Source organism: Homo sapiens, chromosome 3 (assembly GCF_000001405.40).
Source record: "Homo sapiens chromosome 3, GRCh38.p14 Primary Assembly".
NCBI classification, from domain to species: Eukaryota; Metazoa; Chordata; class Mammalia; order Primates; family Hominidae; genus Homo; species Homo sapiens.
Genome location: NC_000003.12, coordinates 138,030,490 through 138,042,497, shown reverse-complemented (window position 1 = coordinate 138,042,497; position 12,008 = coordinate 138,030,490). Strand labels below are relative to the sequence as shown.

Here is a 12,008-nt window from a genome sequence, read left to right as displayed (position 1 = left end):
TGGTTCATAGATGTTATATTTTAATAGCAAAGTTTCTTCATGTTTTTGTAAAATAGATATTTAATACATATCTGTTGACTAAGTGAATACAACTGAATCTTGAAAATATATTAAATGTATGAAACCCAATTTGGAGAACAATAACTGAAGTGCCAGTTCTACTGTCACAGAAAGAAAAGCTAGCTTCTATGAAGAAAAAAAGAATGTTAAGGGGTTGCACGTAAGTGGAGGTGACTCATGTTCAGCCTGTTTTTGGAGCTTCCATTCCATTGAAACATGAATCAGGGCAGAGCAGAAGAACTGAAGGGCAGTCAGCTACAGGATCTCACAACAGTGTCTTTACACTCATTGTCTATCCCATCCTACTCTGCAAACCGTACCCTCACTAGCTGCTCTGGGATTAAATTGTCCACTGCAGGGGCCATAATAATTTCCTTGGGAGAATCTGGCCTAAAGACAGCTGCTTTGGAAAAGATTTTTCTTTCACATCCTGGAGGAAAATATGCCTGAAGGGAGACTAGAGTTGAACTATTTGCCATCAATGATGATGACTAATTGATAACTCTGTAATCCTTTTAAAAAATAGGTTTTAGGTGATTAAATGCAAACAGAGTAGTCTTAATTTCATTTCTTTTAAAATCTTATCTCTTTACAACTTTCATATATACACACAGTTTCCCTGTTACCATCCTAGTGTGAAAAAGTTATTTTAGCAGATATTTAAGTCAATCAACTTGATGTACTGGGCATAAAATTATATTTTTTGCTGTTATTCTTCCAGGAGTCTAGAAATTTCTCACTTTTTAGCTCATTCTGATTGAGAACCAAGGATTATGAAATTTCCTTTATTCTTACCAATACTCAATTCATCCATAAACACACAGCAAAGAGACACACATATCACACAAAATATTCAATGTTACCACACATCAAAAGATCAAAACATAAAAACAAATCTCTAACAAACTGATAGGTTGGTGAGAAATATGAAGTGAAAGTCATCTTTTTTTTTTAGATGATATTACCTCCTAGTATGAGGCAAGACATTCAGAGAATGACCATTGATGAATTCTTTGTCATTGGTACTGGCTTTGCTTATTTGGAGACCCGCTGAGAGATGCCTTTGAGATCTGGCGCTTGTGAGGGAATTCTCATCCTGAAACTTTTCACCTCTACGTTAAATATGTACAAAGTAACATTTTCAAAAGTATTTTTTCAATTCAGTTTACAAAGTTAAGATTTTCCTGCTTTAGTATTGGGTTTAGAGACTGCCAAGACTTACCTATTGCTGTTACCTACTTAATTCTACTGTCTTTCCTCTTTGTACATACGGCAATATGTGTTTCTACAGGTGGATTCATACTCCCAGTTATGTGAGGCAGTAGGAACGCTGACAGCTGCCCAGAGCCGCTGTGATGGTGGAAGGTGAGGTGCAGTGCCTGACTGCCTCAAATTCTCAGGCTTTGAGTCTTGCATTACATCTAGTGATATCCAGTGTCCTATTCAACAAGGTCTATTTCTGATGCTCTTTATGTCTTCCTGCAGATCCTAGTTTTCATCTAGTATCATTTTCCCTCAGATTGAAGAACTCTTTTAGCATTTTTTTTATAGTGAAGATTTTCTGGCAATGAATCTTCATGGTTTCCTTTTATCTGCAAACTGTATTTTGCCTTCATTCTTGAAGTGTATTTGTACATTTTTTTTTTCGGTCAGCCCCTAAAAATACCACTGTCTTCTGGCCTCAATTATTTCTCTTTTGATATTATCCTGCAAGTACCTGAGGTTCTGTTTTTGCTAAAACTTTTTTTCTCTATTTTTGGATAAATTCTAATGACCTATCTTCAAGTTAACTGATGATTTCCTCTGTAATCTCCACTTTGCTAAGTTCATACATTTTTAAATTTCAGATTTTGTATTTTTAGTTTCAGAAGTTCTGTTTTCAAGAATAGTTTCTATTTCTCTGTGAGATTTCTTGTCTTTTTAGTCATTATTAGCATATTTTCTTTTATGTATTTGAGCATAGTTACAATAGTTGCTTTACAAATCCTCATCTGCTAATTCCAGTATCTGGGTTATCTTGGGGTCAGGTCTCCATTGATCACCTTTTCTCTTAAAAATAGGTCACGTCATGCACATGTCAGATAGTTTTGGATTGCGTCCTGGATATTGTGAGTATTATGTTTCAGAGACTCTAGATGCTATTATAGTCTTCCAAAGAGTATTGATTTTTTTTTTGTTTGCTGGAGAAGACAATTAATTTGCTTCTACTCATACAGCAAACTTTGTGTCTTGGGGACATCTCAAGTCTCCATTCAGCTTTGGATCCTAAGTCAGCTGTTTGTAGTCAGCCCTATACTTGCATGGCTTAGGATTTAACTAGAGACCCAGGGAGGGGTTTTTATAGAAAACTTGGATCTTCTCCCTCTGAGTCTCTTTTTTCTAAGACTCTTTGCTCACCTTATAGTGGCTATAGTTGCCCTGAACTCTGTCTCATGGTTCTTCAGGCCAGAAAAACTGCAGATTTTCTAACAGATTTTAGGTACTTCATGCCACCTGACTTTGGCTTGTCCTTGGGCCAGAAGCCTCAAAAACGGAAATTTGCTTTATACCTTTCCTCTCTTTTAAATGTCAGCTACCCTTCAGAATATGTCTGTCTTTGTTCACCCTCTAGTGGCTTCAAGTAGTTACTTTTTGTATTTTGTACAGAGTTTATATTTGTTATCTGCAGGAGGGTTAGCCTGGTGGGAGCTTACTAAGCCATACTGGAAGCTGAGTTCCTCCTGCCTAGTTTTTGTGTTAATTTCTGTGGAGTTTTGGTGTGTTACCAAAGAGGCCATGAAGGTCATTTGATGCCAACCCTCCAGTGAATTCCTTATTGGGTTCTCTCTGCTCCATTGGCTGTACCTTTCTGCAGATGGATGGGGTGTGGCCTGTCTGCACAAAAGCTACTGGTGGGTGGGCTCTGCCAGCTGTCATAGGAAGACATAGTCACATTCATTCACTGCTGACTTTTAAAATATCTCTATCTACATTCTGACTCCTCCACCCCTCAACATTTTTTTTTTTTTTTTTTTTTTTTGCAGCTGGACATTTTTGTTTTTCTTTCTCTCTCTTAATTATGACTTAATTCTTAAGACTTGGGCAAACACTTCCAGTATCATAAGGGGCTTGCTGCCTGGTGGGGCAGCCTGTGCCCCACTGTGATACTTTATTCACCCTTCAGCCAGACTTCATCCTCCTTACCAGAGGCATTGCCATGGCAACCTCCCTCCTCTGGGCAATAAGTATGGGTGGCAAAGTCCTACATGCTTAATATGTTTGATATTTTACCTTTTAAAACATTCTTTGGGGAAATTCAAGTTGGCCTGTCGAACAAAATAAATAAGCTTTTCATTGTCAACAAGGGCTAAGGGCGGCAGCTTTGATAACAGGGAAAGCTTGGACTGGTCAAAAACTCGAAACCAGAGTGAGCAGGTCACATCTAGTTCCACTTGAGATGAGAAAGGAATGGGAAACCTCTCAGTGCTGATGGAAACTGACTCAGATCCCAGATGCTGCTGGGGAAGCTCTAGCCTAAGATGGCTGCTGGGATGAAGTGAGCCCTGGTCCACACCCAACCTTGTAATGTTTGTGTAGCTGCCACCACTGGAGGGAACAGGTATTTCTCCTACGGACAGTCCACCTTGGGAGTGCTGGGGCTTTCCTTTCCCTTCTGGGTGGCATCACACCAGAGTCCTCTTTAGCCTGGAAGCCCTTAAGAGTGCACATACATCACAGAACCCACTGAGAGCTTTGCAGAGGCTGAGGTACTGGGTAGCCCAATGTCCTCCCCCATCTCTGCCATCTGTCTATGCACTAGTTACAGAGACAGGCTCTTATTGGGCATTATTTAAAATTTGAGTGTTAAAAATTAAAAATTTACAATAAATTAAGTATTACGCTTCTTGGCTTCATTGGCAAATATTTTTTTCTTTAAACTAGATTTATATGAGTTTCTCCCTATCTTTCTTTATTTTTCTCATTTGTGTTTTTCTTCTTCCTTTTCTGTCTCTCTCTCTCCCTTTTTTTCTTCCTTCCATTTAAAAAAATGTAGTTATGAATTTATTTTGCCCATTTAATGGGATTTTCTATGGCATATTGGAAACAAAGTGAGGTGTGGAGTCAGACAAACCTGGTTGGAATCCACGCTTTTCTATTTATTAGCTATGTAGACTTGGCATAGCTGTCCCGGTTTGTTCAGGCTGAGTGGTTTTCTGGAACACAGGACTTTCAGTGCTGAACCTGGGACAGTCCTGGACAAACTGGGATGGTTGGTCACCTTACTTGGACAAGATACTTAGCCTCCCTGAGCCTTGGTTTCTTCACCTGTGAGCTGGGGATAATAATACCTGTCTCATGGGGGCTATTTTGAGGGTTGGAAATAGTGTAAGAAAAGGGCCTGAAACTATGTCTGTGACATTGTAGATTCTCGATAATGATAATGATAATGACAGCAATATTAACATTAATAATCATCTGTATTTTTTAATGGCTCAGAGAGATTTTTTTCTGCCATAAATGCTTTTCTCTTTTTTCCTAATGTCTTTTCAAGGAGAAAAAGTTTATTTTGTTTTCTTCATTTTTACGTAAGCCTGGGTATTATGGTTTGAATGTTTGTCCCCTCCAAAACTCATGTTGAAACCTAATTCCCAATGTGGAAATAATGAGGAGTGGGGCCTTTAAGAGGTGATTGGGTCATGAGAACTTCACTCTCATGAATAGATTAATCCATTCATAGATTAAGAGATCAGTGAGTTAATGGATTAGTGGGTTATCACAGAAGTGGTACTGGTAGCTTTATAAGAAGAAGAAGAGAGACTTGAGCTAGCACATTTAGCTCCCTCACCACATGATGCCCTGAACTCCTTTGGGACTCTGCAGAGATCCCTCCCCATCAGCAAGAAGGGCCTCACCAGATGCAGCCCCTTGACCCTGGACTTCCCAGCCTTCAGAATTGTAAAAAATATATTTCATTTCTTTATAAATTACCCAGTTTCAGGTATTCTGTGATAAGAAACAGAAAATGACTAAGTAACTGGGTTTCTGAAGCTTTGCTGTGTCCAACTAAAAAACAATAGCTGCTGAATTTTCCCTGATGTCTAACATCTCTGAGTAGAATCCAGTGATAACACATGGTTGAGATTATCTTTTAGAAACCTTGAAAAATTCATCAAGGACCCAAAAGTCTTCTTTAGAGATAGGCTGCTCTGTGCATAGCTCATACAGAGCCCCTTCCTTATCAGATGCAGGTCTGATGAGTTCCAGGTGTTAAATATCTGGGGACTCAGGGTCTGTTCTGGACATTTCCCCACACAGGTGGATCTGGTTGGCTCAGACCACCTGCCAACATTAGGCCACCCATCCTGAAGCAAGCCCATCCTGCTCTTTCTGGATGGCCCTTCTAGTCAGGAAAAGGAGTTGGATACTGAGAAGGCCAGTGGTTGGGAGGAGATGAGGTCTGTGTGTTCTTGTGGAGCAAGCAAGAGGCTAACCTGGTATGGACTCTCGTCTTTGTTCTGGCTCCCCTGATATGCCTGTGCAAAGGCCTTGAGCATGTCATTTCTCCTTTCTGGTCCTTGTTCACAACAGAGGTATGGGCCTCGGCTTTCCTGTCTTCAGAGGTGAGTAAATGGTGAAATGATTGCCAATTGCCAAAGAGTCTCTAAAGGGGAAGAAAAGCTAAAGCAAAATAGTGTGAGATCAGTTTCTGGGCTCATGACCGTTTTAATTTATTGGTTCAGAGTGAACAGAGAACTCTACTCAGCCATGACTTAATAACTTCCTCCTTCCAAGCTGCCTGAGATGGTCATGTCTCCAGGTAATGAGCTATATCTGCTCCTGTGGACTTCATGTCTGGGTGTTGTTTTCTATTTTTTAATTCTTCAGTTTTTAGTTTTTTTTTCTCTAGATATAAAATAAAGCTATTCTCATTGAAGAAAATTTGCAAACTACTGTAAAGTACAAATGAAAAAAGTATCATCATTATATCTCCAATCAAAAGCAACTACTTAAAATATTTTGGAATATATTTCTTACCAGGGTGTTTTTCAATGCACCGTTTAATAGAATTAATGTTAGAAAAATATAATAATGTTAGTGACTATATAATAGTTTACTTATATATAAAGACTATTAGAAACCTTTCCCTCATTAGGTTTTTAAGTTGATCCAGTTACATTATTTTAAACAATTGATACATACCTTTGAGCATAAGTATTTATGATTATTTCCTTAGGAGAAATTTAAAGAAGGAGCATTGCTGGATTAAAGAAGAAATATTTCCAGCTTTCTTCCGTATTACATATAATTCTACCTTTATGTTACCCTAAAAATCTAAGTTAAAAGATAGGACAAAATATAATGTTTTCTATGTAAGGAATTGGTATGATCCTTGGTCTGCAAGTAGGACCCACCCACTCCTTGAAGTTTCTCTGAAGAAGAAGAAGTCTATGCTTTCTTTTAGCTACCCACTGTGGCAGGGGTGACTGAGATTTCATTTTATTTGGTTATTAGGGAGTAGCTGCATTTAGTGTTGAATATTGTGGTGGTGTGGATACTAGAAACCATCGCTGATAGATGATTTTGGGGTATCTAAATTAAATACCCTTACTCCAGAATAGAATTTGGACATATTTAAAGCATTTTAGTGACATTTTGTCTCTACAATATATTATAATATCTTACATAGTGAATATTAAACCACAAGAAACTTTTTGCTTATCATCATCTCTTAAGGGCCTCACATGCGCATTTCACGTTTATTTGGGCTATTATGAAGAGAATACCCCCTTCCCTTTCTAGCTGTGGGTTGGGAAGTATGAAAAATCAGCCTGACTTTAGCTGAAGGAATGGAATTGTTCAAAAGCCATTCTGAGGCTAGAAAAGTCAAAGAAGTGTTGGTCCCTGATGAGGCTCTGAAAATTGAACCGACTGTGTGGTAAATGTGTATATATGAGCGTGAGTGTGTGTGTGATCCTTGAGTATTTAGAGTGTTGGGCCACTAGTGGGGCGAGATCAGCGTTGTTGGAGGGTTAAAGTATATAAAGCACTAGGCACAGTACTGATTATTATGAGGACTCAGTACAGAAGTTAGATAATGAAAATATGTTAGTGAATCATTGTAATCAATCCTGAAGGTCACATAATTGGTTGGCAATGCAGTCAGAACCAGAAATCCAGGTTTTTGATTCCAAGCCCAGTGCTCTCTCCAGTGGAACACATCAACTCAGAGATATCAGGCATTTTGGCAAAAATTGTGGCTGTTGCAGTAGTCAACCCTGGATAATGTCCCGTGGAGGCAGGAGAGGGCTGAATACTACCTAAGTAAAAGGTAAGAGAACTGGGGACTCCCAGGGATTTTTATGAGTAACAATGCTGAGTCATATTTTGAGCCTGTATTCCATGGCTTGGTTAGTCCATTTCTGTCTTTGTACAAGGAGACTTCAAAATGCCCCTAAATTTTAGAAAATTTAAATTTGAATAGCTCAAAATTACATAACCAAGGACAGTTTTCTACTGATGACTTTTGTAATCTCACTTGTTTAAAACTGAATGTAAAGTGTTTTGTTTTTGTCTTTTTTTTTAATTTTTAGGTTTTAATTATCAGCTTTCTTTGAGAACCAGAGTAATCTCTCAGATCCTTCCTTTCTGTACTACATACTGTTTGGTAACTAGTCAGAGAAGCTCAGAAGTTATATCTCTGAAGCTTTCTCTGGAGTTCAGTTTCATCCAAAAGAAGAAAAAAATGAGGCAAAGCAATGAGTTTACCTGATTTCTAAGGACCCCGGCTCCTCAGAATACAAGTCTTCATGGCATATGACAAATCTCCATGTTTTGACTGGGGGACCCAGGCTTCATCAAACTAGATACCACTGCTCTGGCTATAGGAAGAGGTTTAGGGATGGGTACATTACTCAAATAATCTAATGTATTTTGTTAGGGTTTTTCTCCTATGCATAGAAGGAAAGAGATGCCTCCCTTTGGCTAGGTTTCCCATAGCTGAAACATGGCTTTATGGCTAGAAATATAAGCAGCCAACACAACAACTCACAATCTTCTTGAGAAGCAAACCAACAGAGAAGACAGCAGAACTGAGATATGGGCAGAGAAAAATAGAGTCTTAATCATAACCCTTGATTCAGCTGTGTCTGAAGCCAACCCTGACCTCAGATACCCCAGTTACATAAGCATTGCCCTCTTTGTCTTAAAGTTGTGAAGCTTGGTTTACTGTCACTTAAGTGGGTCCTTTACTTGTATTATTCCATTATTCTTATCATCCCTATTTTACAGATAAGGAAATGGAGACTCAGAAAGTTTAAGGGCTTTGTTCAAGCTAACATAGCTGCAAAGTAGTATGACCTGGATTTGAGGTTGGGTTGTTCTGACTATATAGCTTATGCTGCTTTTGTAGCTTGGATACAGCCTCAGTTTATTGAGCTGGTCAACCCAACCTTGGCAGCATCAAGAGGGCAGGCATTGGCTCTCTTGTTTTACTGGCCCACAAACAGGACAATGACATTAGACACTTCGGGCTTGTGCGCTTAGGGTCAGACAGGCTAAACTGGATCCTTGGACCCCATGCTGCATGCCTGGTTGCTCTGGGAACTCCTCTTCATTAAGGCTTCCCAACTTGCAGAAACCACAAACTGGTCTGGAACGACACCTAGCTCTAGGTAGCTAGGCTGCTGTTGAGCAGAAATGGATTCTGAAAGCAGAAAAACTCCCATGAAGAAGCATCCAGCGTTGAGGTGCTGGGACTTCCCACCTCCACTTCCCAAAACATATGAAAAAAGAGCAGAAGCTATTCAACTGTAGGATAACAGTGTTTTTAATATTTAAGTAACAAAACATTCAGGTTAATACTCAATGCATATACAATAAGATAGAGCAACAACAACAAAATTACAAAGCACAATCTAACTATATGGAGGCTTTCAAACAATTAAATGTTGGATAGAGAATGCGCTAATTAAAAACCCAGCTGAGCCACACCGCACTACCTGAGACCTGACCAGGGACTTTCTGGTGGTAGAAGGGAGAGCTCATTGTGCCCTGTGGCCTTCAACTCAAATGGATGCTCTTCAACTCAAATCCAGAGAGCACTTAACAAACTCCATGCTCTAGATTGCTCAACCCTCCTCCTTGCTTTTCTTTTTTCTTTAGTTGACTTGTCTGCTCATCCTTTACCCAAACTGAGGCAGTGAGTTCCACAAATACTTCCTCTGGTTTGGTTTAAATGTTGCTGTCTCAGTGAGAAGGGCCTCTGAGCTCACTGCTCTGACTCTTGAACACAACTTGTTATTTAATGGGGCATAATCCGTTCTTTCCCCAGACATAGTCTGTTCAGCCTGAAGATCCTTATGAGTATTCACCAATCCCCTTGGAGGTCACTTTCATATGTACTATTGATGTGAGGACTTTCCTCTCAAATAATAACCTAATGGCCAAGTTCCCCTGCACCAATGCTGCTGTGGGTAGTTTTTAGAGACTGCTCTTACCTCAGTTTCCTAGGGGGCCTATCTGGCTTTGGTACTGGGATGGAATTCTACTGTCTTGGAAGGAATTTAGACTTTCTGCTCAAAAGGGCAGTGATGTAAGCTCAGGGAAGGTGTGTGGTTGCAAAGAGCTTTCAGTTTTGCCCAAACATCTGATGGTCCAACCACTCTAGGTGAATTCAGAGAAGTGAACAGCTCTCAGAGTAACAAAACTGACCACCAGCTAGTTGTGATGGCGCACACCTGTAATTCCAGCTACTTGGGAGGCCAGGGTAGAAGAATTGCTTGAGTGCAGGAGTTTGAGGCCAGCCTGGAAAGTGAGACCCCGTCTCTAAACAAAGCAAAACAAAACAAAACCGACCACAGTGCCAGGAAAGTGCTACTGCTAACTGGCAGTGGCTTGTAACCATGCAAATGTGGATACCTGTCACTTGGAAACATTACATTTAATTCAGGCTCAACTTTTTTTTTTTTTTAAAGAATTAGTTTTAACCTACTTCCTAGGACTTGCTGTGTTCCATTATTTATTTTTTATTTTTTTAGACAGGATCTCGCTATGTCACCTGGCTGGAGTGCAGTGGTGTGATCATGGCTCACTGCAGCCCCAACCTCCCTGGGCTCAAGTGATCCTCCCACCTCAGCCTCCCGGAATGCTGGGACTACAGGTGTAGGCCACCATGACTGGCTGATTTTTTCTCTCTGTATTTTGTAGAGACAGGGCTTCTCCATGTTGCCCAGGCTAGTCTCGAACTTCTGGGCTCAAGTGATCCTTCCTCCTCAGCCTCCCAAAGTGCTAGGATTACAGGCGTGAGCCACTGTGCCCAGACATTATTTACTTTTTACATGGCTTACACTTACTATCATGTACAATCAGAGCCATAGAGACCTCAAAGGGAAAGAATTAGGATCAGTGAGCTTTTCATGGAATTTGTACTTAAGCATGACTTTACAAAGTACCATATAGACAATGTCAAAGCAATTATTTTTTCATTTCCTTCTATCCACATGTAGGGGTGAGGCTATTTCACAGAGATAGTGTATCATTTTACTAAAACATTATTTATTTTAACTATATTTAGGACTTAAATTAAAAAAAATAATTTTCTCATTCATCTAGGGACAATTTCTGACCCGCGACAGAAAGAGGACTCCAGTGGAGAGCTCAGGAAACTCCTAGAATGGTGTTGCTGTAATAAGAAGATGTCAACAGCAGTAGAAAGGTTTGGTTGCCTCAAACTGAAAATGACTTTGGTTTGGTAACTTTTAAGATCACAGTGTAAGAAAACCGAGATCATGGGCTGGAGAGATTACAAATATCTTTCTCTTATTGCTTCTTCTTCAGTAAGTGTTTATTACTAGCCAAGTTGGGGGTGGGGAGACAAAATTCAAACAGCAGAAAATAACATCTTTGGGTCTACTCTTTCCTTTCAAAAGTTTTCTTGGGGATAAGCTGGGAAATAGATCATCAATGGGTTTATTGACTAGGAGGAAGAGGGGGAGTCTGTCTAAATCATCAAAATGTGAGAGAGAGATTAAAACCACATTCTCTCATCAGAGTAGAAAGTTATATTTAAAAAAAGAAATAGAGGATTGAAAATGTGAGCTATAGCCTCTAATTCATAAATAACTCAGCTGTTTTATGGTGGAATATTTAGAGACAGAGACTGAGGCTAAGACCATTTGGCCTCTCCAAAGATGAAATCGAGGCTTTTCTAACTTCCAGCTGTGAGTCAAAAGCAAGAAGAAATCTAGATGGGATCTCCTTGTTTTTTGGGTGAGCTCTCCGGGAGTTTCTTCCGCCCGTGCTGAGAGGTCTTAGAGCATTACACATAGTCGTGCTTGGAAGGATAAGATTGTACCTCGTCCTCTGTGCGGGCACCTCCATCGTATATCTTCTTGTTTTTGGTGTTGGACCCAAAGCCAGTGCTGGCCTTGAAGCCTCCAGGCTTGTAGGCAACACTGTGGCCTGAGGCATGATAAGAAACGGCTTTGTAGCTGAAAGAAAAATAAACATTCCATGATTGTAGATGTCTTTGTTAGTAGGACCAACCTCCTATTTACCATAAACTGTCTCAGTCTTGGCACTGAAAGTCCAGTGTCCCTGGAAACCCATCAGTCCGGGGCAAACCAGGATAGTTAGTAACCTTAGTTTTTGGTACACTGGTTTTACTGCCTCTGCAGTGGAACAGAAGTTCTTGCACTGTTTTAGAGCTTTGCTGAGCCGAGAACAAAATCTCCTGAGAATAAAATAATTGTGATTCCAAATGGACATTTTTGGATGGTGGAGAGAGGTATCCCCAAATCCTCGGTAACTAATGAGTTCCCTCTTTCAATCAATAAAAATACAGCTGAACCAGAAACAATGTCCAGGGGAACATTGTTACGTCAAAGGATCATAGAATTTGTGAGCTGGAGGGTACCTACGTTCAGCCCATTGCCTCAAGCTGCTCATTTCATGGATGAGGTGATAGAGGC

At 39.9% G+C, this 12,008-nt stretch overlaps 1 protein-coding gene across 2 annotated transcripts in view; it reads right to left on the bottom strand.

Moving 5' to 3' along the window:
- Positions 1-8,848: 8,848 nt before the first annotated feature.
- CLDN18 (claudin 18) overlaps positions 8,849-12,008 on the bottom strand; it is a 34,834-nt gene continuing 31,674 nt past the window's right edge. For both annotated transcript variants that reach the window (NM_001002026.3, NM_016369.4), the window contains exon 5: positions 8,849-11,528. In NM_001002026.3, the coding sequence (NP_001002026.1) occupies positions 11,357-11,528 (172 nt within the window). In that variant the 3' untranslated portion in view covers positions 8,849-11,356. The remainder of the gene's footprint in view (positions 11,529-12,008) is intronic.